The sequence below is a fragment of the Homo sapiens genome, chromosome 5 (genome assembly GCF_000001405.40).
Source record: "Homo sapiens chromosome 5, GRCh38.p14 Primary Assembly".
Lineage (NCBI taxonomy): Eukaryota > Metazoa > Chordata > Mammalia > Primates > Hominidae > Homo > Homo sapiens.
This window is the reverse complement of record NC_000005.10, coordinates 7,409,982-7,436,519: the sequence shown is the minus strand read 5'-3', so window position 1 is coordinate 7,436,519 and position 26,538 is coordinate 7,409,982. Positions and strand designations below refer to the sequence as shown.

Here is a 26,538-nt window from a genome sequence, read left to right as displayed (position 1 = left end):
GTTTTACTATATGTCAACAATAGGCTTAAATTGTTGAGTGGGACAAAAACACAACTCACAGAGACATCGAAGCCAAGGCATATATTGTTTCACTACATCAGATATGAAGGTGGAGAAGGCAACGATAGAGATAGAATGTGAAGTCAGCAACTGCAATGTCATTTCCATAGGTTATTTTATTGATATTGCCATTGTTCACTTCTCCCAAGCTAAGGTATGGTCAATTCTTTTTACTCGAGGTAGTTATGTCTATAAAGTTGCCATGGACACTGAATTAGAGAAAACTGATCATTAAATACAGGGTTATGTTCCTATGCACCCCTGGTCACAATATTTTCGTCAACAAATCAATGCAGAACCTTGTTTTATGTGTGCGTCTGTTTAAAGATACTGTATTTAATACAGTGTTAATTAATTATCATTGAACTCTGTGAATGACACCAATAATTAATTTTGGAGTTACAAAGAAATTCCAGAGAGTAGGTAAATTCACAAATATGGAACCTGCAAATAATGGAAACTGACTATATTTTCACTCCATTCTGACTCTACTCAAAAACCAAGGCTAAAATGTTGAGGTTTCTGAAGGCTTCTAAAATTTTACAGTGCCTTCATTCTACAGAAGTCCACCATTATAAAGTCACTGTTGGGTGGGAAAAAACTGCTCAGTTATCTGAGAACTTTGTTCATGTCTAACAGCTATAAATGCCCAAGTCTGATGTTAAATTCTGTTGAATGTAAACATCCCAGCATCGTGAGTAAAGCTGAGCCCTGTTTGGTCCTACTATTGACACACGTGGACAATGTCCTATACTCAAAATAGAGTTTGGCTCAAAATGAGAAAGAAACCTAAGCTGGTATTTTAATAGTCAACACATTCTCCAACTACTCTCAGGGCCATGATTTTCCAATTGGAACTATAAGAAATCGTTTTGAATTCTTAAGGAAAAGTATGTTCATGTAATTAACAGCTTAAATGCAATGAGAGTGTTTCCTGCACTTAGAAATGAGCTGTTGTATGCCCTGAACTGTCCCTGCTGGTCACAGAATCTAGAACTTGCTGGGCATTTCTGCTGGAAATTCTGATTATGTCGTATGATGAAAAGGATAGGTTCTCCCACTGGCAGATGTGTTAAGTCATGAGTGAAGAGGCATCAGGCAGCGAGAAGAAAAGCCGTAGCCAAAACTAAGCCCAGGTTTTCCACAAATGGCTAAGCACAATGCTAGTATTCCAAAAATATTCATTCTCTTCCCTGGGCCACATTTAATGTAAGTGAGCTTACATCAGTTCACTTGAGAATGTTGGAGAAGCACTGACACTGATCTCACAGAATCTTCACGTAACATAGCCCAAGACCGTGGCACAACATAGCGACCACATAGTGTGACAGTGATACTCCTCGGATTCTGTTGTAGCCTGAAGAAAACACGCAAGGAGAACACATAATCCCCTCTGTTCTGATCTGATCCTCAAAACACACCCAACTGAATGGGTTTCCCAGGTAACCTAACACCAGAAAGAAGATATTTTGGTTAGCGATAGGAGCATTCTCTTAATAGCAATTGAATAATAAATTGGCATTTGGATGAAAGTAAATTAATTCACCACTCTCAAATCTTCCCTATAAAGCTAGGAAAGAGATTTTGGACCCATGCAGGCCTCCCACAGCACAGACGCTGAAAGAGTCTTGGCTGAGACCATTGGCTCTTTATAACCACAATGTGGGAGACACGCTTTGTAGAATCCCACTTCCATCTTGCATGGGCTAGGTCCCTTTTCCTCTCTGTGAAACTCACAAATAGTCAGAGGAAAGCCTGCAGAGGCTACACCAGAAACTAGCAGGTAGATATGCTCCCAATTATAAAAGCATGCTTCTGCATTTATTAAATAGCCTATGATGGCACTTAGAGTTTGTGTGCACATCCTAAGAGCATGTGGAGTTTATATGTCCTACACTTGACCTGGGTGGCTTCCAATTTTCAATAAGGAAAGAAGTATCCATGTCATATCCAGCTTCTGAATCCCATCTTCTTCAAAGCTGTCTCTAAGGTGAAGGTGGCTTGGAATGCAAGTCAGTGAATGCAGCACACACAGCCTACTACATCTGCAGTTAAACTATGCCCCATATGTTAAAAGAATATGGGACAACTTCTGATATATGCAGATGTACTTTATTCCTTTCACTCTAACTTAGTATTTCATTGGATGAAAATGCCAAATTGATTTATCTAGTTCCCAACTGATTACCATTTAGGTTATTCCTTTTTTTCCTTTCCTATAATAGACAATGCTGACACGAACAAACGTCTCCAGGAGTCCCATGCATGCGTGTAAGACTAGTGGGTAGCTGCAAATATGCAGAATGAATTAGGATGGGTCTTTTCTTTTGCATTTATTTGTCATCATTCTTTCTTTACTTAAAATGTTTGCTTTTCATGCATATTTAGGAAATTCTTCCCTGTATTGACGTCATGAGGAGATTTCCCTCTGCACTTTTTTGAAAACTTTACTAGTTTGCTTTTCTTAGATTTTAATCCACCTAGAATTTGTATTATTAACTAATTTGTATTTTAATGAATTTTTAATTTGTATGACATGAAGACATGACATGACAGAAGTAGGAATCTGATTTTCTCCAAAAGATAGCCAATTTTTTTCTTTTGTTAATTTATTTCAATCATTTTTTAAATGTATCAAGTACTCCCTCCTGTTCTCGCTGTTTTAATTTCACCCCTGCCACATAAACAAGTCTCTTTCTGAGCTCTCCATTCTGTTCCCAAGGTCTCTTTATTTGTATCTAGGCCAATACAATACAATTCAATTCTATTATTTGATTTATTAAAATAAATCTTCCATTTTTTTTTCTTTCTTCAAGGAATTTGGCTTATCTGCTTACAAAAACAAAAGTTATCTAACTGTTCCACAATTTTTGGAGTAATGTGTTTTATGGTTTTTATGCTTCTTAGAATATTTCATTCTTTGGCTACGTCCCTCCTCAGGAAGTAAAAACTGTGATAAAAGTAATTTTCGCATTTCAGGAATATTAAAGAAATACAGCTTGGTGACCTAGGCATTGTATGTGTGTGTGCACACACACACACACAAACCATGTATGGTTTTTTTAAGTTAAAGACATTGAAGAGAGACTGAATTTTTTTAAAACTCAGCAACTGATTTTACAATCTTTTAAAAAAATTAATAAAATATGTGTTTGCCCAAGGAATCGTCTCCTCCTTAAGTAAACTTGATAAAAATAGAAATACTGTCATTTTCTTAGACCATCTCAGTAACTTTATTCTACTTCACAATAAAGGCAAAAAAGAGGGAAGGCCAAGAGTGATGGAGTGAGCATATCTGAATGGAAAGAAGGAAGAAGCAGTGGTTTCCAGCCTGGACACGTTTTTTGGCGAGTCACCAAATCTCTTTTGTATCTCAGCCTTGTTTTGTTTCATGTTTACCATGTGAACAACACCTGCTGAAGACAAGTGTTAATAGTTTGAAATGAAAAATGTGAACATTCTTTGTATGCTACAAAATCCTATACACCATCTTACACCCTTACTGAGGTATAACTGATGTACAATAAGCAGTACATCATGCAGTACAATAAGCAGTACATGTTGAAATTGTACAATTTGATGAGTTTTGACATACATAAACACCTGTGAAACTATCACCACAATTGAGATAAAGAACACAGCCATCACCCCAAAAGTGTCCTTGTGCCCATTGTACCCATCCCTCTATGTCTTGGCCAACATTGTGTACAATCAGCTTTTGACTTTTAGCAAATCTAAATTGTACATAGCAGTACTTCACTGGGCTCTGAATTTGCATTTGCCTAATAGTTAAAAATGAAGCAGGATTTTTCCCTCACCCCTTCATGGGCAGGAACTGAAGTGTGGGCGTTGGAACTGCCAGCTACTTCCGTGCCAGCTGGGGTGAACTCCAGTCACTCGAACCTGTGCACTCAACCCCTCGTGGGATGGAGCACGAAGGTGAGCGGGTCCAGGAGCCAGGGTGAATGCTTTTGGGCGCTGGCAGGAAAAAACTCTGTACCAGCCCTGCAGCAGCATCTAGTGGGTAACCCATGACCCCTGAAGCCCCAGAAGGAGTGTTACATCCAGTGCTCTTTTAGCTTTGTCATCTGCGGACAGCTTAAGTATTAACAGCTCAGTGGAAGGTCAGTATTACAGCCTTTTGCACCCACACACACATTCTTGTCCAGTGCCCAGGAGGAAAGAAGTCCCACAAACAAATCGGAGATGGTCAATGAAGGAGATTTTATTGCCAATGAAAGTGGCTCTCGGTGGGAAGGGGAGCTGAAAGGGGACAGAGCGGAAGAGTAATCTTCCCCCAGAGTCCAGCCATCCCCAGCCGGACTCCTCTCCAAAGCTACACTGTCAGACAGCTATCCCTCTGAAGTCAAGACACTTCTTTCCAACGTTCAATGGTAGTCTCTGACATCCAGCTGCTTCTCTTCTCTCTGCCAGTAGAGCTTGAGGTTTTTAGGGGCACAGGATAGGGGTGGGGTGGTCATGGGTGGTTTTGGAAAAGGCAACACTCCAGCGAGAAAACAGGGATGTATGTTCTCACTTTGGGCCACAGTTTCATGCTTGAGGGTGGGGCCCTCACCAGGGATCCACCCTCTTCTGCCCAGAATTTCCCTGCCTCCTGTCCCTATCAGTAATACTGAATATGTTTTCATGTATTTGCCAACCATCTGTCTTCCATGATAAAGTATTTTTTGAAGGTTTTGCTAGTTTTTTGTTGTTATTTGTCTTATGATTAAGTTGTCAGTCTGCTCTATATATCCTAAGTAAAAGTCCTTGGTCAGATTTTATAATGATTTGCAACTATTTTTTCCTGCCTGTGGTTTGCATTTTCATTTTCATTTTCATAACAATGCCCTTGAATGGTAACAGTGTTTAATTTTGGTCAAATCAAAGCAACTTTCATAAAATTTTATCTATCAGGGTTTTTTTTTTTAATAGTTCCCACCTTTTTGTGTGTTATATTCAAGAAATCATTTTCTAACACAAGGGTACTAACAGCTTTCTTCATGTTTTCTTCCAGATGTTTAATAATTTTCAATCTAAAATTTACATCTATGGTCCATCTCATGTTAACTTTTATACATTGTGTGAGGTAAGAGTAGAAGTTTAGTTTTTGCACAAAACCATCTGTCTTTTCTTTCAGCAACTATTACTGATAAGCTTATACTTTTCCCACTGAATTGGCTTAGAACATTGTCAAAAATAAACTGACCACATAGGCATGGGACTTATTTCCGGATAGTCTAGTGTATCCCATTGGCCTAAATGTCTATTTTTACACCAATATCACGCTATCTTGATTACTGTAGTTTTATAATAAATCATGAAATCTGGTAGGGTAAGATCTCCATGTCCTGCTTTTTCAAATTTTAAGGGGTATTTTGCATTTCCATATACATTTTAGAACCAGCTTCCTACTCTCTATGAAAAAGCTTGCTGGGACTTCAATTAGGATTGTACTGAATCTCAAGATGTGTTGATCAAATTTGGGGAGAAACTGTGTTGGTTAAATTTGGGGAGAATTAACATTTAACATTGTCATTGGATCCATGAACAGAATCTCTCTCCAGTTATCTAGCTCTTTAACTTCTCTCAACCACGCTTTACAGTTTTCTGTGTAGTGAAATTGCACATATCTATTCAAATTTACTTCTAAGTATTTCCTATTTTTGAGTTTATATTAAATGGTTTTTTTCCATTTCTAACAGATGATTCCAATATGTAAGACTACAAAAGCCTTTTTGGCATCTGCTGAAATGGTGACACACAGTGCACCTGTTGAAATTATCCTTAAGGTGGTGAATCACGAAAATTGATTTTAAAATATTAAACCAACTCTGCATTCTTGAGATAAACTACATTTGTTCATGTTATCCTTTATATATATACACTATATATATAGTATATCAATATACTATATATATATAGTATATATATATACATACACACATGAACATATATATGTGTTACTAGATTAAATGTGGTAATCACTTGATAAATTTTGATTTGAATTTTGGTTAGAATGTTTGTGTCCATGTTCCTGAAAGATACTGGTCTGTAGTTTTCTTTCTTTGGAATGTCTTTGCTTTTATCAGAGTAATGGTGGCCCCATGACATGAGTTGGGAAATGCTTCCTGTTCTATTTTGTGGATGAATTTCTGTAGAATTGAGATTACTTATTCTTTAAACTTTGGTATAATTCACCAGGGAAGCCATTTGGACCTGGAGCATTCTTTATAGGAAGATATTTAGCTACCTATTCAAATTATTTCTACATATAGAGCTATTTCATTTATCTATTTCTTCTTGAATGAGTTTTACTGGTTCGCTTTTCAATAAATTTGCCCATTTTATCTATATTGTGAAATTTAATGGAAAGAGTTGCTCATAATATTTCCTTATTAAACTTTTAAGGTCTGTAGAACCTATAACAATAACCCCTTTCATATTCCTAATATCAATCATTTTATCTTCTATCTTTATTCCCAATCAGTCTTGCTAGAGTTTCACCAATTTTACTAACCTTCCCAAAGAACCAGTTGGGATTTCACTGATTATTGTTTTCCTGCTTCCAATTTTGTTGTTTTCTGTTCCTTTTAATTTGTCTTCCATTTTCTTAAAGTGAAAGTTCAAGTTACTGATTTCAGTCCTTTCTTCTTTTCAGCATAAACATTTAATGTTATCACTTTCCTGCTAAGCACTGCCTTAGGTGCATTCCACAGATCGTGATACAGCATGTTTTCATTTCATTGAATTCAAGATACTTTCTAATTTCCCCTTAATTTCTTCTTGGACTCATGGGTTATTTAGAACTGTGTTGGTTAACTTCCAATTATTTATTAATTTTTCAGACTTTTTAATGTTATTGATTTGTAATTTAAGTCCATTATGCCCAAAGCACATACTTTGTATCATAACAACCCTTTTAAACTCAGCAACACTTTGTTGCCCAGAATATGGTCTATCTTAGTAAATAAATGTTCCACATGCATTTCAAAGAAAACACACTCTTCATTGTTGGGACGTGTTCTATAAAGATGAATTAGGTCAACTTGTTTAATGGGACTTTTCAAATCTCCTATATCCTTATTCATTTTCTTTCTTCTTGTCTCAGCAGTTATTGAGAAATGGGTACTAAAATCTCTGAGTAAACATGGATTTTTACATCATGTATTCTGAATTTCTCTTACTAGGGGCACAGGTATTTGAAACTGTTAGCTCCTCCTGAGGTACTAATTCCTTTATCAGTAGGCAATGTCCCCTTCTCACTGTACCTGCTCTTTCAGGGCCTGTGCGAGTACCAGAAATTATTTCACCTGCTCTTTCCTGGAGCTTTTTTCTTTGGCCTCAGTAGATTGCTCTTAGGCATGTGCCTGTCAGTACTCTGCTGATGAATTGGTGGGACCCTCTACAAATCACTAGAGCTCTCTCTCTCTCTCTCTCTCTCTGTGCAACTCTTCTCATACCTCTTGGTATTCCATCCTGAGAATTTCAGCACCTTTGTCTTCCCAAACTCAGAATTCTGTTTCCTCAACTCAGTGCAATTAGCTGGGCTCTGTTTGGGTCCCCTCCCTGTGTCACAGCCCACGGACTCTCTCCAGAAAGGAAACTGGAGCAATCCTAGAGTTCACTTTTTTTGTTCCCCTTCTTATCAGGGTCAATTTCCCATAGTATCCTTTGACCCATGTCTTAAAGCCATTGTTTCAAGTATTTTGTCCTGTTTTTTAGCTGTTCAAGGTGGGGAGGTAAATCAGGACTCAATTTCTGCATCATGTTTGAACATGGACATACAAAACACTATCTACTTGGGAATGAAATTATCCCCTCACTGGTTTTAACAGAATACTTATTAATCTCAGCTTTGAATTTATTGGACAATAAAATTATGAAACCCAGCTTATTGAAAAATAATTCAATTTCACATAATTTATACCAGTACACAGTGTGGTATGTATTAATGGAAACTTGGGAACTAAAGCTTTTCTTTAAAATGGAAGCTGAACTTAAGCAAATGAAAATGGTTATAAATCATATATCATGGAGTGAAAAGCCATTTATTTAGCAGAAAAAACTCTATCTTTGGCTTAAGATAGTTTTTGGTGTTTTTCCCCCTAACAAAGATAAGCAGCCACTTAAAAATTATGCCTTGTTTCCTCTACTTTTCTCATTGATTCTCTCTGAGGTAGGCAGCATTCCCTGTGTTTCAGATGGCTGGAGATTCCCTCCTGCTAGTATGAATTTTTTGCCTGAAGCAAAGTCATGATATAGAAAATGTAAGTGGTCCTCAGATCTCCATCAACCTGCTACCAGCAGTTCAAACCTAAAACCTGAAAAGCTGAAATCACCTTTCAGCTCCCCGACCCCTGCCCTCTGCATGATAGCAGACAGGCCCAGCTCCCTGGGGTGTGGCCTGTGCAGCCTCACAGGGCTCAGTCTTAGAGGGGGCCTGCCTTTGGTTAAATGCTCTGTAGTTGTTGTTCTGAAATGCTTAATAATTTTTTAACAAGGGGCTCCACAATTGCATTTAGCACAAGGAGCCATGCCATATGGAGTGGATTCTGCATACAGACTAGGTCTAGATGTGAATTTTAGGTCCGCTGGGCTTCAAACACTCCAAAGCAAATGGAAAAGTAGAAATAAGATTCTCATGATTCCCATATCTGAGTTCCTTCCTTGGTACTTGTTACTGGTTGAATTTTGGTCCCCTTCCCCACCAAAACAAAGATATGCCAAAGGCTTAACCCCCTAGAACCTCAGAATGTGACCTTATTTGGAAATAAGATCATTGTAGATGTAATTAGCTAAGATGACATCATACTGTTGTGGGGTGGTGATATGGTTTGGCTGTGTCCCCACCCAAGTCTCATCTTCAATTGTAGTTCCCATAATCCCTACGTGTTGTGGGAGGGACCTGATGGGAAGTGAGTGGATCATGGGAGCAGTTTCCCCCATGCTGTTCTCTGATAGTGAGTGAGTTCTCACGAGATCTGATGGTTTCATAAGCCTCTTGCACTTCTCCCTGCTGCTGTCTTGTGAAGAAGGTGCCTTGCTTCTTCTTCACCTTCTGCCATGATTGTAAGTTTCCTAAGGCCTTCTCAGCCATGCAGAACTGTAAGTCAATTAAACCTGTTTCCTTTATAAATTACCCAGTCCTGAGCAGTCCTTTACAGCAGCATGAGAATGAACTAATACAGGTGGGCTCCTAATTCAATATAACCGGTGTCCTTGTAAGAAACTGGCATGTGAGGACAGAGACATAGAGGAAAACACGTGACATTGGAGTATCACAGCTGCAAGCCAAGGGACTCCAGTGACTGTCAGCAAATCACAGAATATTGAGAAGATGCAAGAAGCATTCTCCCAGGATTTCGGAGGGAGCATGGAACTGCACCTTAATTTCAGATTTCTGGCCTCAAGAACTGAGACATTTCTGTTGTTCTAAGCCAGCCACTTTGTGGTACTTTGTTCTGGCAGCCCTGGGACATGAATGCAGCAGACAACCACAAATATTGCAAAGTGGCATGTTAACACAGCATCCTAGCTCTGTTCACCACTCTTGGCAAAGCTTTTCTCTCCTAAATTCTGCGCCTGGTGAGCCTCCCATGGCCATTCCTCATTTGGGTCACACTCTTTAGAGATGGCAAAAGGAGCCATGACCTCAAAGCCGTTACAGAGGGTGGAAGCCAGTGCTGGCAGCTCTAGATCTCCTGGGGGAGACCCAGGGATGGTCCACAAGCAGAGAGAAATACCAACATCTGCATGCTTATGGTGCTGAAGCTAAGATCCGGAAATGATTACAAACTCACAAACTCCAATCCAAGGCTGCCATGGTTTACATGTTTATGCCCTCTCCAAAATTCAAGTTGAAACTTAATCCCCAGTGCAACAGTGTTAAGAGGTGGGGCCTTTAGGAGGTGATTAGGACCTGACAACTCCGCCCTCATAAATGAAATTAATACCCTTGGAGTGCTTAGATAGCTGCCTGGTCTTTCCATCTCTTCTGACATGTGAGGACACAGCAACAAGACTGTCTTGGGAGCAGAGAGCCATTCTCGCCAGACACCAAATCTGCCGGTGCCTTGATCTTGGACTTCCTAACCTCCAGAATTGAGAGAAATAAATCTCTATTATTTATAAATTACCCAGTCTGTGGTATTTTGTTATAGCAGCAAAATGGACTAAGACAAAGGCCAAATAGTTCTAAAAAGTAAACGATGAGAACTCAATATTCACTTTTAACTCAGAGAAATGTTTTATTCTGGCTAAAACTCCTATTAGAGGGCACTAATCTTTGGACAAAAATAGAAGGTAAGCTGTCTGGCCAGAGCAGTGTTTAAAATAATGAAATGGACTTTCCTTATGCAGGATGGGGCCTCTCCACCTCATCTCTGGCAACTCTTCCAGGGACTTTACTACCTCGCCTCTGAGTCACATGCTTGTTTCTCGCCTGGGGGTTGGGAATACCAGTTGTGAGCAAGATGACACAAAGGCTGGGCCTGATGGGAAGCTGATGGTACAGCAATGAGTTAATTAAAATCTACAGTACCTGTTAATACCCAAACTCATTCTACAAATAGGAAAATTACAGTTCCAATGGGAAACACACATTAACAAAGCACTGCAAATGTAGAGAGCAAGAAAAAAATACCATGATAGTATAAAATATTCAACTGCTTTCCCCCATACTTATTCAGCATGAATCTAAAAGTTTACTGTGAAGCCTCCGGCAGGCAAATGCCTTTATTGGATTTGCAGGTGTGTACTTCACTCCTCCCTTTACGACTTGAGTGAAAATAATATTAGTTGCTGCTAAGAAAAAATATATTTGAAATACAGAATACCAGAGTTTAGTGAAGTGTTGCTTAGCAACTTTTCACAGGAAATAATTTAAACTCTGAATTTATTTTTTCCTGAGAATTTGCTGCTCTAGCCTGAAGTCTATAATTCACTCTCTTACATTCCAGCAGGTTCTCTGCATGCCTGCATGGGTACATATACACAGCTCTGTTCTGATGGAGACGAAGTTGTATTCGTCACAAATTCTCTTAAGAATGTTTCTTGGGATAGAACAACAGCATCCAAGACTTAATGCTCGAGTAGTTGGAATTCCATGACAAACACAAGGGAGATGATGCAGAAGCCCTAAGATAGCCGCCATCAAAAACACCTCCATTGAAACTAAGTCAAAAACAGATGTTTGGGAAACTCAGAGAACATTTTTCCTCCCTTGTAAAAGTCCAGCTCTTTCAGGAAAACACTGCAAATCCCAGACCCCACTCACACCTCCTTGTTGCGCCCTTGTGTTGCCTTCCCTAGGAGGCTCTTCCAGATGCCCTGAGAGCTGCACACATAGGTCTGGGGCTCTCGAGACAGTGAGCAGCACTGGGCAGGCTTCAAGGGAGGTCACAGGACCCATGGCTGGCACCGCACAGGGAGAAGCTGGCGAGTGGCTGGATTGAACCCTGTGTGGCATCCTAGTGAATGCCCTTCCAGTGCCCTTTGCACCTGATGAGGTTTTCCTACAGGGAGGAATGAGGCCAAGGACAGGCATATAGGAGCTAGGGCAGACCCAGATGAGAAAACCAGCACAAAGAGGTACAATTATAAGGACTCTATGTATAATAAATCTCTTTAGGAGAAAGTAGAATTTCAGTTTTAGTTGATTCCCCAACAGTAATGCTGCCTAATACATACATGGGCTATTATTATTCCTTGGGCTAAGTTAGTCCTATTTCTCTTATTGATTCATGTGAGGAGTGAAAAATACCTCCAAATGGAAATATCATCTGGCAATTCGAAACAGTGACAGTACCATATTTTTGGCATCTCTGCAGAAACTGCTCCCTCCCCACGAAGTTTTTCCAAATAACATCAACCCAAAAGTGGTTCAAATAGAACAATCCAGATTCACAAATATGTCCCTTTCACATCACACAATAATCTGTCATGTGCCAGGGCACAACAGGAGGGGGACACCCTAGTCACCAATGACAGTGGGCATCTGGACATTCCATGTGATGGTGGCAGAATGCCAAGTCCAAATTCTGGTCCTCTTCCTCACTGTGTGACTTTGAGGAAGTTGGTTAACTTTTCTGGGCTTCAATTTTTTCATCAGCAAGATGCAAGTGATAATAGTATTTACCTCACAGGGTTATACAGATCAAATAAGTTGTGTATGCAAAGTAACCACATGGTGCCTGCTACTGGAGGACCTTGGAAGTGACTCTGATCATTCTACGGTAGAAGGGGCAAGTGCACAGATGCAGTATTTGTACACTCATTTGTTCCCACAATTTTTGCGATGTGATCACTACGTGTGTGGTGCTGTGTTGTGCACTGGGAACAGAGCAGCAAGCAAAAATGTCTCAAAGACCACAGAGTATTTATTTTTATTTGTACAAAGTTATGGGGTACAAGTGTAATCTTGTTGCACACATAAATTGCATAATGGTGAATCAGGGTTTTAGGGTATCCATTATCCAAATAATTTACATCGGACTCCTTAACACACATTGGCTGTAGAGATGGGGGTGGGAGGAGAATCACAAAGTCTGTGTGCAGGCCAGAGGACAGTTTAGTCATGATGCCAATTTTCAGTACCGGAGCCCATGCTCCTCTTAAGAAAAGCAGTACAGAGAAAAGGAGGAGCAGAGAGAATGTTCCAGAAAGACCAACAGAATTGTCCATTCAAGCAAGATCAGATCTGGGAAGGCCTAAGTGAGGGTTAGGGTAAATCCTCAGCTCGAGGGACAGCCAAGCCAGTGTATTAGTCTGTTCTCACGCTGCTAATAAAGACATACCCGAGACTGGGTAATTTATAAAGAAAAGAGGTTTAATGGACTCACAGTTCCACATGGCTGGAAAGGCCTCACAATCATGGCAGAAGGCAAATGAGGAGCAAAGTCACGTCTTACATGGTGGCAGGCAAGAGAGTGTGTGCAGGGGATCTCCCCTTCCTTTATAAAACCATCAGATCTCATAAGACTTACTCACTATCACCAGAACAACATGGCAAAGATCCACCATGATTCAATTACCTCCCACCAGGTCCCTCCCAAGACACATGGGGACTATGGGAGCTACAATTCAAAATGAGATTTGGGTAGGGAAAGAGCCAAACCACATCAGCCAGTTTGGTTTCTCAACGCTCTGGCTGGGAACTCACAGTAGGGATAACTCAGAAATGCCTCCTCTGCTCCAAAGAGCCAGAAACATGGAGGTCTCCCAATAAACACACTGCAGGCTGAGCCCAGCTCAGCTGCACTTCCCTCAAATGCACAGGTGTCATCAGGATAGGTGTGGTTATTAAACAACAAAAACATATCCTCCTCTTTATTGTTAATGGAAATAATTTTAATTACTGTTTAATTTTTCTTAGGTGTGTGCTTCTTCATAGTAAGTCCAAATGCCCACACTGAAAAATCATCCTGGCACACAGCAGCACACAGAGAAGAGTTTCTTGGGTGCACAGAGACAGGCTTTCTAGGTTGCATTTTTCTACTTTCATTCATATGCTACTCGGTTCTTCCAGTGGTAAATACATTCTTTGGTCGCATTCCAAGTGACTGCACTAGAGGAAAAGCAAAAGGATTCTGCACCAGTTCAAAGGCTAAGAGAGGCCTTTATTTTCTTTCATTTTCGCTCATTTTCAATAAAAAAAGATGTTTGCACACTGATGTCCTATTTTTGTAAGAAAGGACACATATGCACATGCTGAATGTCTGACATCCTTTTAGGTAACAGGACAAAGAAAGGCTCTCCTTCCTAGAGAAAAATGTTAGCCTTTCGAGTTGGTGGTAATTTAACAAATCTGTAAAATAACTTCAGTATGGTCTCCCTGCCAAGGCTGAAATGGGGTTGTCAGGAATAAAAGTTTCTGTTGAACTCTATTCAATGAGCTTTAGTACAAGAGAAATGCAGAAAGCTGGAGTCAGATGCAAATGTGGGTCAGCTTTCCTATCCTTCCTGACCACACTGATGGCTCTTTAAGCCCATGAATGAGCAGAAGACATTCCAGGCAATCCAACCTGCCTGAAAAAAAACCATCTCAGAGGAGGGTCCTAAGTCAGTAATTATCAGCTGAGATGAAGTGGATCCGTGCTTGTCAGAAAATCATTAAACAGGCTGGGCACGGTGGCTCACATTTGCAATCCCAACACTTTGGGAGGCTGAGGCAGGAAGATTGCTTGCGGCCAAGAGTTCAAAACCAACCTGGGCAATATAGCAAGACCCCCATCTCAATTAAAAAAAAAAGAAAGAAAAACAAAATCATCAAATAAAACATCACTTAAAAGCTTAGGGTTTACAAAGTGAGTCAAAGTTTTGTTTTTTTGTTTGTTTGTTTGTTTGTTTTAATGTAACAGGCAAGAAGGATTTAATCAATGCCATGAATGTAAGAACCAACAAGAAACACTTCCATGACAGGAAGGGCAGAGATAAATCAACAACATCTAGCATGCTAACATGCCTTGACAGCACTCTGTTTATTTACACAGCAATGTGATTGGACCAGTTATTTTCTCTTTACATTCATGAGTGTTTATTTGTTTCAACATGATATTCACACACAAGAACGTCTCTAATTCCTTAGAGAAACAGGTTTGTATAATGGCAAAAACCCCAATTACTTTTGCACCAACCTGATAAAAGCCTCAAAACTTTCATAGCCCACATTTAATTTCAAGGTGGATTTGAAGGTTAAGGGAAAGTCAACATCAAGAGCAATTTCCAAATCTAAGAAGGAGGAGTGAACCTCAGAGCAGCACTCCACAAGATGGAAATGCCTGTCCTACTACCAGAGAGCACCCACTTAGGGAACCGTTGTCAGTTAGGAGTTGAACTGTGTCCCCTGAAAAGATAGCTTCAAGTCCTAAACCCCAGTACTTGTGACTGTAACCTTATTTGGAAACAGGGTCTTTGCAGATGTCATCCAATTAAGATGAGGTCATTAGGGTGGTTGTAATCCAATATGATTGGTGTCACTATAAGAAGAGGAGAAGAGCCACAGAGGAGCTACCACGTGAAGACGGAGGCAGAGATGGAGTGATGTGTCTGCAAGCCAAGGAATACCAGTGACACCAGAAGATGGAAGAGGCAGGGGAGGATTCTCCTCTAGAGTCTTCCAAAAGAATACAGCCCTGCTGACACTGTGATTTCAGACTTCTGCAGACTTCTGACCTCCAGAGCTGAGACAATAAATATCTTCTATTTGTTCTAAGCCATGGAACACAACTTGAAAGAGGCTTAGTTACAGCAGCACTAGAAACAGATCCAATGTCTACCCATGGGACAAATGACTGCTCTTTTTGAAATCAGTGACAGGACTCCAATAAACACATTCTGGAATTCCAAGCTTCCCTGTTCCTTCCGGTGGGACTGGTGGGCGCCACAGCAATTATGGGTAGAAATCCTTGCTGTGTTGTGTAATTGAGCTGGACAGAGAGGGAGAGATACACTCTGCCACTGATTTCTTAAAAATAAAAATGATCCCACTTACTAGATGCACCAGGACAGAGAAAACATACTCCTCTGCTAATTTTGAGTTCAACATGCTCATGTATTTTTAAACCATTCAGAAAAATGAAACACAATCGCAGCATCACCCTCACAGCCATCCTAACAGCTCTATCAATGGGGAATTGGAAGCACAAATGAAAGGCATTTCACAAGGCAGTCAGGCAAGAGGCAGACCAAAAAGACTTCCCTGTCAAATGCAAATGCTGCCCCGAACTCCGGGAGCCAGAAACTCTGCAGGTTACTGCGCAGACTTCACTCAGAGGTTATATTGTTTTAAAAGAGTTTTCATCTGGGAGGCAGCTACGTGGAATGGCATCAGCTGGGTTGAGTGCCAGTAGCACAGAGCAGAGGGAACCTTCGGGATGGGGGTGGTTTGTGCCGAACTAAAATAATGACGTTTGGAAAACCCCACCCCTTACAGTCAAAACCTGTGAGGGCAAATCTCTTGAAGGTTTGGGGTCTTTTTCGCTCCATTTTCCTTATTTTCCCAGTGACTCCTCCCAAACCAGGTTGTTGACCCACACCCAGGGTCCCCACCCTTGTTGTTGCCTATACTTTCTCAGGGGCACACACTGAAAAATTACTCCTCTTTCCTGATCAAAACTGCCAACATCACTCTTCAGTCGTGCCGTGGCAACTTCATACAGTTCTGCTCACTGAGGGCTTAAGAGCTGGTTATTTAAAAGGCATTACAGAGAGGCCATGTTGGGTGATATGCGGCTTCTCAGGCTCGGAACTGGGCTGCATAATTCTTTGCCCTGTGCGTTGTATGGTGATTAGCAGCATCCCCAGCTTCTGCCCGCGAGATGACAGTAGCATTCCCCCATACCCGACCAAGCTGTGACAAATGGAAGATGTTTCCTGACACAATCACATGTCCCCGGGGGGTGCAATCGCTCCCGTTTGAGAAGCACAGGTCTCCTGGCTGAGAGCCAGCCTCAGGAGGCAGACCCCTTGGGCTCAAATTCCTTTGTACTTCAGCCTCCCTCCTGTGCCTTCGTCTCTGCACTTGGAAAGCTGGGGTAGGATGGTGCCCCGCTCATAAACGAATGAGTGAAGTCATGTAAGGGAAGCACTCAGAACAGGGTCTGGCACTGGGTCCAGACCATGCACGTGCTAGCTGTCTGTGCTTGGTGCATGTTGCTGACTATGAGCTACACTCAAGCCACTGTACAGTTTAGAGTTAACCTTATATGAGGTCTGGCCTTGCCCTCAACTGCTGGAAGGTGACCTAGGCCCTTGGAATGTCCTGCCCGAGAAGAGTGTGTTTATTTATCTGGGGGCTTAGACCCCAGGACAGTCTGAATGTGGTTTATGATGGGAACTTAGAGCCCTGTGATGTCAGTGCTACCTCCAGAGGGACTGGAGAATAAAAGTGTCAGCCTCACCTTCGGAAGGCTGGAGACTAAAGGTCAGCTGTGCAGGCAGGACGTGATTGAGCCCCAGTGGAGAACTCTGAACATCAAAGGCTCAGTTGAGCTTCGGCAATAGATAATTCTCTTTGGCCATTGTGACATGTGGTTGTAGGAGAGCAGCACCAGCCATGACTCCACAGAGAGAGGACAACAGGGGCTCCATGTCTGGCGGTTTTCCTGGGCTCTTCTCTTTGCCAAAGTGCATCTGTATTCTCCCCATGTAGCAATCCCTAATCACAGCGATAACGGCTGTCACAAGTTCCGTGGGTTCTTCTAGAAAATTGTCCAATCTCTGGGTAGTCCTGGAAACCCCCCAGCTTGCAATTAGTATCAGCAATGAGAGTGGTCCTGCATAGACTGTTCCCTCTGACTGCATAGCAGGCTCATTCCTGCATCACTTTACAACTATGTTGTTAATTTAACCATCTTCCAGTGGGAACCATTCTATTCTAAAGGATACTGAAAGCAGCCTGCTTTCCTAAGCACAGTGCTTTCTTGAGCAAAGTGAACGTGCCGCAACACTTCCTAATGGCTAATTAAGGGGTATACATATATGAAGTCTGTAGTAAAAGACACCAGGGCTGGGTGCAGTGGCTCACGCCTGTAATCCCAGCAGTTTGGGAGGCCAAGGCAGGCAGATCATGAGGTCAGAAGTTCAAGGCCAGCCTGACCAATATGGTGAAACCCGTCTCTATTAAAAATACAAAAATTAGCCAGGTGTGGTGGCACGTGCCTATAATCCCAGCTACTCAGGAGGCTGAGGCAGGAGAACTGCTTGAACCCAGGAGGCGGAGGTTGTAGTGAGCCGAGATCGCACGACTGCACTCCAGCCTGGGTGACAGAGTGAGATTCAGTCTCAAAAAAAAAAAAAAAAAAAAAAAAAACAGAAGGTAGACTTTTGTTTTTAATTTCATTTTAAACCCCCATTCCCATAGAATGGACAGGGGCAGCTAGAAGTGTTGGGCAGGACTTCAGACTCTAGGAGGGGCAGGACTCGATGTCTCTCCAAGGGGTATGAGCCGGTCCACTGCATGAGGCACACACCCTGCCAATGCTCCTGGCTTAGGAATAGTGGGCAAAAATAGCTACAGCCACTGAGCCTGGCTATGGCCTTTTCTAAGCATCATGCCTTGGGTGAGAGGGCCTAGCAGACATAGCTGTGCTCCTCCCAGAAACATCCCCAGGCGGCAGGTTGAGCTGGCCTCCCAACCTGCAAAATTAACATGGAATACCTGGGCTGAGCCTCATATACACTCACGATCCAGGGCCCCAGTGGCGTGGGAAAGACAACCACAGAATGGTTGGGGTTATATTAGGGGCAGAGGTGAATATATTCGAATTCAAGATGTACGTAAAAGCAAAAATGTCAAGGTACACAGGGAGAGCTAAAACCAAGAAATTTGGCCAACAAATTCAACACCTGAGGGTAGTCAGTCTTGAGAAAATGACTATGATACAAGCATGTTTATGATCCTTAGGGAGATTTTTAAAAGCAGGCAGATGGTGTCAAAAAAACAAAATACATGTTATAAAACAACAACAGCAAAAAAGGTTAAAATACAAACAATAACAACAACAAACCTGAAGATGAAAATACAGTCATCTGTCAATGAACATATGAAATGAGAAGCTACTGGCTGCCAATGGCTGGACAGCATTCTGCTAAGGGTAAGGATAGGATACTGGAGAGACAGTCATGTCCCTGCCCAGAAGTTTATGTTCCAGCAGCAGACAATCAATAAACAAAGAGAGGGGTGTGTCCTGTAATTTAAGGTTCTATAAGTTGCCCTAAGTGCCATGGAAACACTCAAGCAAGGTGAGTGATGTTGCCTTATGAAGTGACAGATAGGGGTCAGGAAAGATCGTTCTAAGGACATGCAACCTGGGGACAAGAACATTCCAGACAGACAAAAGGACCTTATCCTGATTAATTGGTTCTATTATAAATAGTAACAATGATAAAGCAAACATTGTATTACTGGAATCTTCCATGTTCCCATCAAGTTAAACATCTGATGCCACTTACACTCTGTCCTGCCCCACTCAATTAGAAATCCTGGCTAAAATAATTAGACAAAATACTACATCAGAATAAGGTAAATTAAGGATATGAAAGGGAGAAAGAAAATTCTATACAAATAAATTGAGAGTCTCAGATCAACTAACAGAACCCAGAAGAGCCCACGGACACTGTAAGGTCAACATAAAAACAATAGTATTCTTATATATAAACACCGACCAATTAGCAAAGGTAATTTTTAAAATTCTGTTTATAAAACAACAAAAAGACTTTAGGTACCTAAGATTGAGTCTAACGAAAATTATTATTGATTTTATGAAGAAAAAAAAGAGTCTCCGAAGGAACAAAAAGTAATCAGAATTCTTTGATAGACATGCCATGCCATTTGATGAAAAGACGAAACACAAAAAGAGCATATTTCTGGATGTTTTATACACGACCCTTTCATTAATTCTTAGGCTTTAAATATCTTTCATAACAAAAATTTAGAAATTCAATATAATTTAAATCCAGAACCCAAATGGACTTTTCATTGAACATGACAAACTGATCCGTAATAAAAAGTGAGCTAAAAACATTCTGAACAAGAAGAGGTACTTGGCCTCCCAGACACTAAGTCTTCCTAGAAACCTGTAACTTTAAAACAAGATGGCTTTGGTGCAAGAAGAGACCACCAGATCCAGGCAACCGACCAGCAGGATCTTAACTGTTCTCCTGTTTACATTACCTGGGCACCAGTATGCACGCAACAGGATGTCTAGGCTGCTGGGGGAGAAAATTTTTAAACAGTAATTTTTAAAATTACCTTTTCTAATTGGTCAATGTTGATGCATAAGAATACTATTGTTTTTATATTGATCCTGCAGTCGTGGTGGGCTCTCTTATGAGTTCTGTTAGTTGATCTGAGACTCCCAGTTTATTTGTATAGATAGTATGGTCATCTGCAGATAATTAGAATTTTCTTTCTCCCTCTCATGTTTACCTTATTGTTATGTAGTATTTTGTCTAATTGTATTAGCCAGGATTTCTAATTGAGTGGGGAAGGACAGAGTGTAAGTGGCATCAGGAGCACAGAGAGTGAAGGAGAGAGCGGGGAGTGTGAGGGAGAGGAAGAAGCCAGACAGAGCATGGGGGCCGCGCCCAGCCCTCCAAGGGGCTCTAGTGGGAGAGTGATAAAGGAGAGGTGATGGCGCCCGCCGGGTCTTGTGTCCACTATGACAGTGTCCTCTTAGAGCCATAAAGACTAACTTGAGTTCACTTAGTCCAGCCTCCTCCCTTTGCCCAAGAAATGGAGGCACAAAGAGAATAATGGCTTGGCAGAGGTCACATGACTACTTACCAACAGAACCCACTGGCCAGCTCATCTCTGGGCTCTTTCCAACTGAGGCACACCAACAGTATTCTGTCCCTTGACATGGCTTTTGAGCCATTCTGTCCACACCCTCTGGAAACCCTGGAAACCCTCCCTACAGCAGTGTACCCTCACTGGCTCTCTTCTCCCCATCATGGCTCCTCTATTCCTTTCCAGATCCTGTTCCTGGCACACCCCTGGCTCTCAATGTCCCCATCAACCCTGCGACAGCCCTCTCAGCTACTCAGTCACCCTCTCCCTGGATGGCTTCAAAACTCCATGTCTCGGTTGACAAGCTCTAAACTAGTAGCTCACATCTCAGCCTAGGCCTGTCCCCTAGACAACACACCATTTATCACGCTGTCAGATGAATATGCTGGGAGCAGCCACCCACATAGCAGCAGCACTACAGAAAAAAGCCAATAGTTAGACAACACTCTCCTCAGGATATGACCTGAGGCCCAGAGCCTCAAAAGGTGCAAAATGAATGAATGTGGGTTTTTCAGCAGGTATCCGAAGCCACCCCTTCAATAGCTTGTGACCATGTGGAGGGAAAATCAGTGTCACAGAAGTAGGAAGGGTCTTTAAGTAGGAAAATTCTAGTAATTGAGAAGGAATTTAAGGACAACAACCAGTCCTGGAGGGTTGCAAGCACCTGGAGAAATAGGAAGCCTAGACAAGGCACTCCGGAAACAGAAGGACTGAGTTGTCGAAACTGTGGTTCGAGATGTAAAACAAGGCTACGGACAGAATTGAAGCTCAGCTATCCGAAACAAGTGACAGTATGAGGCCCCGGCCAGCTCCTTGGCTGTGGTACGATGGGTTTGCTAAAATGAGGACAGAGTGACTTTGACCATGAGTCAAAGACAGCTATTTCAAAAGCCTTTGTTCTCTGTGCCTGGCTTATTTCACTTCCAGTTAGACAGGAGGAATAAGATTCAGTGATCTATTGCATAACATGCTGACCATAGTTAATAATAATGTATTGTATATTTCAAAATTGCTTAAAGAGTAGATTTTAAAGCTTCTCACCAAAAAACTATGGAAGTGACATGTTGCATATAATTAGATTTAATTTTATATTAAACACATATGTATCCAATTATACACACACACATATACATACACATACACATCTATACAAATACACATACATACAGATATAAATACACATACATACAGATATAAATACATATACCTTGTACCCCATAATACATACAATTATAATTTGTTGATTAAAAATAAATTTTAGCAATATAAATCGAAAAAAATAGACTCTGCTCTCAGTTATAGGACTCCTCTTCAAAGTTTAAGGCCAAGTTGTTTACAGAACTAAGTATGTCACAAATCAAGACATAAAAGAAGTACAAAAAATATTTTCACACCTTACCTGGTCCCAGGGAGAGACGGTGCCTCCAAAACACATGAACAGGTATCCCATGGCAACAAGGCATATCCATATCACCAACGAGAAGAGGCGCAGCAGCTTCTTAAACACAGACTCGATGCAGACCAGGATAAATATCGCAAAGAAAATCGCCAGGGCAGTTGGAACTGTTATTAGAAACGCCACATGGTCTTCAACTTCCTGAGGAGATAAAAAAATACATGGAAAAGTTACCATTTAGAGACACTGTGATACCAATGATTTATGTTGTTAAAATGTCATCAACGCTTGTCAATGTCAGAATATATTGGGTTTAAGAAATTGTTTTGAAAGTAGAACAGTTTGAACATTTAAAATTCAAGTTTCATAATAAATAAGCATGTTTTTCTAAATAGATAATCCAATGTTGGATATTTAAAATAGGACAAACAATATCTCATCAAAGTTACATCTTCCCTGATAAATGCAGAAATGGATTTTATTCAGAAGTGAATGTAAGAACACATTAATGCCAGGAGAAAATAAGACAACCAACTTCTCTCCCTAAATCAGAGGAGCAGAAAAACCCCGGCCTTAGAAAACTATCTTGCAAATGGATTTTAAATGTTTTATTTAAAAAACTTCTTTCAAAATTATCTGTTTTTATGGTGATGAGCTTTTATTTTAATGCATGGCAATTAATGTTTTGATGGGATCATAGGTTAATAGAAAAGGGTCAGAAAGTGCTGAATATGGAACGTGAGGGAGCGGGAAATGCATACAGGAGGGCGCCATGTTTGTTATTTCTCTCTCAAGAGAGATGGAGAAAATAAAATAACAAACATGGCAAAAAGAAACAAGCAAAAAGAAAATGGGCATTTATTATTCACTTCTTACTAATGTATTTCTTTACATTTATTTTGACACACAATTTTTTTTTATTTATCTCTTCCTTACCACATGACAAAGACCCACTATTTCCATTCTACACAAGTTCAACTCCACATACAGACATTATGTTTCATTTGATTACACAAGCCTGGGCTTAGGCTTTAGCTTCTGCAAAACATTATGCTGGAAGCTTGCTATGGACAGCGTTTACTATGGAACAGAATACAGTGTAAGGTCTTTAATCCTCACCCAAACATGTGTAGTTAACAGAAATATCCACAGACACTTCTATTAAAAAAAAAAACCGGCCGGGTGCGGTGGCTCACGCCTGTAATCCCAGTACTTTGGGAGGCCGAGGCGGGCAGATCACAAGGTCAGGAGATCGAGACCATCCTGGCTAACACGGTGAAACCCAGTCTCTACTAAAAATACAAAAAAAAAAATTAGCCGCGCGTGGTGGCAGGCGCCTGTGGTCCCAGCTACTCCGGAGGCTGAGACAGAGAATGGCGTGAACCTGGGAGGCGGAGCTTGCAGTGAGCCGTGAGCGCGCCACTGCACTCCAGCCTGGGCGCCAGAGCGAGACTCCGTCTCAAAAAAGAAAAAAGAAAAAAAAAACCCCAAGGCTGGGACCATATATGGGACTTACAAAGGGACTGTCTGTCTGGTGATCTCTATTCTTTACAGGTGGGCACAAGGTTCATTCCACCCACTGGCAGCTCTAACTTCACACTGGAAATGGCTCCATGCAAATACCAAGCAACGAAGCACAGGGAGATGGGGAAACAGAGCAGACCAGCCAAAAATCCACACGGAGTCTTGGTTCCCAAGGAGGGAAAAAGCCAGAATCCAAGCCCTCTTAACTGACATCGTTTCCCTTTCTCTCCCACAATTATGTGTGTTAAATGATGCCTGGGAAAGAGGCAAGAGGAACAACAAGAATGGTAAATGCTAGTAAGTGCTACTTGTGCTAAGCAGGCTTACATATATTAACCTCTTTAATCTTTACAACCACCATCCTGGTAGGGGCAGGCAGGATGGGGGGCACTAGTGTTAGTTCCATTCTACAGCTGACGAAACTGAGGCACAGAGAAGGGCTGCCATGGATTGTCCAGCTGGTGGGTGAGACAGGCCTCCAGCCAGGCATAGCCTGTGGGTCTGTGGTCCTGCAGCAGACAGTGAACTCAACCGAATGGGGCTAGTTGTTGCCGTGGCCGAAAGAATGTGTGTTTCCAGAACTGGCAGAAAACAAGTAGATCAAATGAGATGTTCTTTTTCTCTCCCTCCACTGCTATTTTTAGCCACGATTAAGTGCCTAAGTTATTACTCTTACCCTCAGACACAGTTTACAATTGCTGCAAAAGGGTATTAGGTGTCTGCCAGGCTGCGAGCACTCCCCGGCACTCAGACACCACGAACAAACGGACACGTGGGACATGACAGCGTGTTATCTGAGGACATCAAATCTGAGATTATGACCACTGCACACATGGTGCCATGAAAACTGATTTAACTTAAACCTCCCCAAATGAGCCTCACTGAGCTGTGGACAGAAAACTAACCAGTAAATAATCAGGAAACCTATTTCCTAGTATGACTTTTTTTTCCAGTCATTTCATTATCCCAGCAGGGGTGAAACAATCATTGACTTTACTGGCTCTTAGATCTCCAGAAAGACTGAAAAACCATGCAAAAATATGCATGACTGTAAAGTGACAATTAGTAGAGCAGGGAACCAGGGAACAAGAAGATGCTGATATAGTCCTTCCAGGAAGCAGAGAAGAAACGGAATGACCTGTAAGAGCTTTCCCGTGCTTCTCTTTTTTTTTTTTGAGACGGAGTCTCGCTCTGTCGCCCAGGCTGGAGTGCTGTGGCGGGATCTCGGCTCACTGCAAGCTCCGCCTCCTGGGTTCACGCCATTCTCCTGCCTCAGCCTCCCAAGTAGCTGGGACTACAGGCGCCCGCCACTACGCCCGGCCAATTTTTTGTATTTTTAGTAGAGACGGGGTTTCACCGTTTTAGCCGGGATGGTCTCGATCTCCTGACCTCGTGATCCGCCCGCCTCGGCCTCCCAAAGTGCTGGGATTACAGGCGTGAGCCACCGCGCCCGGCCGTGCTTCTCTTTTAAAGGATCTCTCTGTCAACAAGACAGAGACCCAGTGTCTTATTTTTCTGGGTAAAGTATGTAAGACTTGATTTTGATTTTGGTTCTAAATTGTAAACTCTCTATTTTTTCTCTCTCTTTTTTAAAAATCAGATCCCCGAGATGTGATTTGTCAGGGCTGCAGGTGACTTCTCCATCATTAATCACAGTGAGCACAGTGTCTGGGTCCTACAGCCCTCTTAGAGTCCTGCAAAAATGTTTAAATTTCTTTCAAAATGAGAACAGCCAAAAAAGCACAAACTCTTAGGGTCAAAGATTACATACATCTTTATGACAATGCAGTTGCAAACTATAAAGAGGACTTTGACCTCTGAAGTCCTAATCTAGGTCATGATCCTCAGTGGCTGGTGGTGTGCCTGCCCTCCCCAGATGGGTGACGTTAGCAGGTGGGTTCTGCATAGCAGAGGAGGAGAGTCATCCTCAGACCACACACCCCCACCTCAGAGGGTGAGCCAGAGGCTCTGACGGCCAACGGCTTGAGACAGTCAGCTGCTGCTTGTGAGGCCTGTGACCCTAACCTTTGCAAAAGCTGGGCCCACTGAAAAACAGAGACTCTTCAAGGAAGAGAACAGCCACCAATTTGTTCTGTATCTGCCTTTGAATGCTAACTCTGAAGGAGTTTTGAGAACCTTGCATGAGGGTGTCATGGGAAGAACAGAAGAGTATTCACTAGAGGATGTACGAGCTTACAGGCCACAGTCTTCCCTGGCCTCGCTGCCTGCATCATGCATTTTTCTTAAGGCTAAGTCAATGGAATAAAGAGACACTCTCAGACCTAGGATGACAGCTTCTCCTCTCTCCTGTCCAGCTCCCAGCAGATGGAGAAAGGAAGGAAGCCAGCAAGGTACACCCCGAGGCCATGTTCTTCTGATTGAGTTGTTTTCAAACATTAGAATATAAAACAGACAGACTAGCTTAAAATAAGCAAACTAAAACATTAAAACCATCATCAATCTCAATTAAATATTCCTATGTATCCTCACCCCTCCTCCCTTTGTGGAAAAAAATATCATATAATGCAAATTAAATAAAATGTACTAAAATCCTTTTAATATTACCTAAAATATACTAAAATGTCTTTTTAAAAATGGCTTTAACAAGGTAAAATAAAATTTACCATATAATGCATACTAAATGAAATGTACGAAAATGCCTTTAAAGCAGGAGATTTTGACTATGGTATCATCCACTGAGATGATTATGGGTTCCTTCCACTCTAAGCATTTTATCCCTTCATTTTCCATGCATTTTCCGGTAATTTCAGATGGCTTCTAATTGCCAGGCCTATTAAATACCCATCACTTTTATTCCTTATGTGACAATTCCTTTGTTTCTTAGATGTTTTTCCACGCAGTAACAGCTTGTCTGTATTTTCTTTCTTTTCAATGTACTTTTTCTTTTTTCTTTTTTTTTTGAACAGTACTATTTTGTATGAGGGTGGTAAAAGACAGTCTAATGTAAAATACTGCCTTTCTATTTAATTAAAAAAATTATATTTTAGTGAAATACTTTGAAGTCAGCAAGACCAAAGGTAGAAACCAATTTCCATCACTTCCTGCTGTGATTTTTCAGTGGGAGAAGTCGAATGTCCCTCAGCCGGCTTCTTCACATGCAGTCATCCAGATTTGGTGTGGCTTCTGGGTGTTTGGTATGTCACAGGTGTACCACAAATGACAGTAATTACTAGGAAAAATGAAATCAGCCTTTAGCTTTGATAAACATTTGACTACAAATGGATGTGTGGAGATACAGTTTTTCATA

At 41.4% G+C, this 26,538-nt stretch overlaps 1 protein-coding gene and 1 long non-coding RNA gene across 6 annotated transcripts in view, besides 6 other annotated features; both read right to left on the bottom strand.

The window, feature by feature from the left end:
* The window catches only part of ADCY2 (adenylate cyclase 2), a 433,944-nt gene that overhangs the window by 393,562 nt on the left and 13,844 nt on the right, over positions 1-26,538 (bottom strand). For all 5 annotated transcript variants that reach the window (NM_020546.3, XM_011513942.3, XM_047416645.1 and 2 more), the window contains exon 2: positions 21,750-21,947. In NM_020546.3, the coding sequence (NP_065433.2) occupies positions 21,750-21,947 (198 nt within the window). The remainder of the gene's footprint in view (positions 1-21,749; positions 21,948-26,538) is intronic.
* Positions 7,234-21,482, bottom strand: LOC105374646 (uncharacterized). Its single transcript, XR_925763.3, has 2 exons — positions 18,570-21,482; positions 7,234-17,290 (listed from the first exon to the last, which is right to left on the bottom strand). It is a non-coding gene; the product is annotated as an uncharacterized LOC105374646 (long non-coding RNA).
* Positions 8,758-9,449: an enhancer, noted in NCBI's record as "NANOG-H3K27ac hESC enhancer chr5:7427184-7427875 (GRCh37/hg19 assembly coordinates)". NCBI's record gives its function as "activates a minimal SCP1, AML or CMV promoter by ChIP-STARR-seq in primed H9 embryonic stem cells {active_cell/tissue: H9 hESC(primed)}" and the evidence as "EXISTENCE:reporter gene assay evidence [ECO:0000049][PMID:30033119]".
* Positions 10,911-11,438: an enhancer, noted in NCBI's record as "NANOG-H3K27ac-H3K4me1 hESC enhancer chr5:7425195-7425722 (GRCh37/hg19 assembly coordinates)". NCBI's record gives its function as "activates a minimal SCP1, AML or CMV promoter by ChIP-STARR-seq in naive H9 embryonic stem cells {active_cell/tissue: H9 hESC(naive)}" and the evidence as "EXISTENCE:reporter gene assay evidence [ECO:0000049][PMID:30033119]".
* Positions 11,439-11,968: an enhancer, noted in NCBI's record as "H3K27ac-H3K4me1 hESC enhancer chr5:7424665-7425194 (GRCh37/hg19 assembly coordinates)". NCBI's record gives its function as "activates a minimal SCP1, AML or CMV promoter by ChIP-STARR-seq in naive and primed H9 embryonic stem cells {active_cell/tissue: H9 hESC(naive and primed)}" and the evidence as "EXISTENCE:reporter gene assay evidence [ECO:0000049][PMID:30033119]".
* Positions 13,457-14,326: an enhancer, noted in NCBI's record as "OCT4-NANOG-H3K27ac hESC enhancer chr5:7422307-7423176 (GRCh37/hg19 assembly coordinates)". NCBI's record gives its function as "activates a minimal SCP1, AML or CMV promoter by ChIP-STARR-seq in naive H9 embryonic stem cells {active_cell/tissue: H9 hESC(naive)}" and the evidence as "EXISTENCE:reporter gene assay evidence [ECO:0000049][PMID:30033119]".
* Positions 15,165-15,889: an enhancer, noted in NCBI's record as "OCT4-NANOG-H3K27ac-H3K4me1 hESC enhancer chr5:7420744-7421468 (GRCh37/hg19 assembly coordinates)". NCBI's record gives its function as "activates a minimal SCP1, AML or CMV promoter by ChIP-STARR-seq in naive H9 embryonic stem cells {active_cell/tissue: H9 hESC(naive)}" and the evidence as "EXISTENCE:reporter gene assay evidence [ECO:0000049][PMID:30033119]".
* Positions 15,890-16,613: an enhancer, noted in NCBI's record as "OCT4-NANOG-H3K27ac-H3K4me1 hESC enhancer chr5:7420020-7420743 (GRCh37/hg19 assembly coordinates)". NCBI's record gives its function as "activates a minimal SCP1, AML or CMV promoter by ChIP-STARR-seq in primed H9 embryonic stem cells {active_cell/tissue: H9 hESC(primed)}" and the evidence as "EXISTENCE:reporter gene assay evidence [ECO:0000049][PMID:30033119]".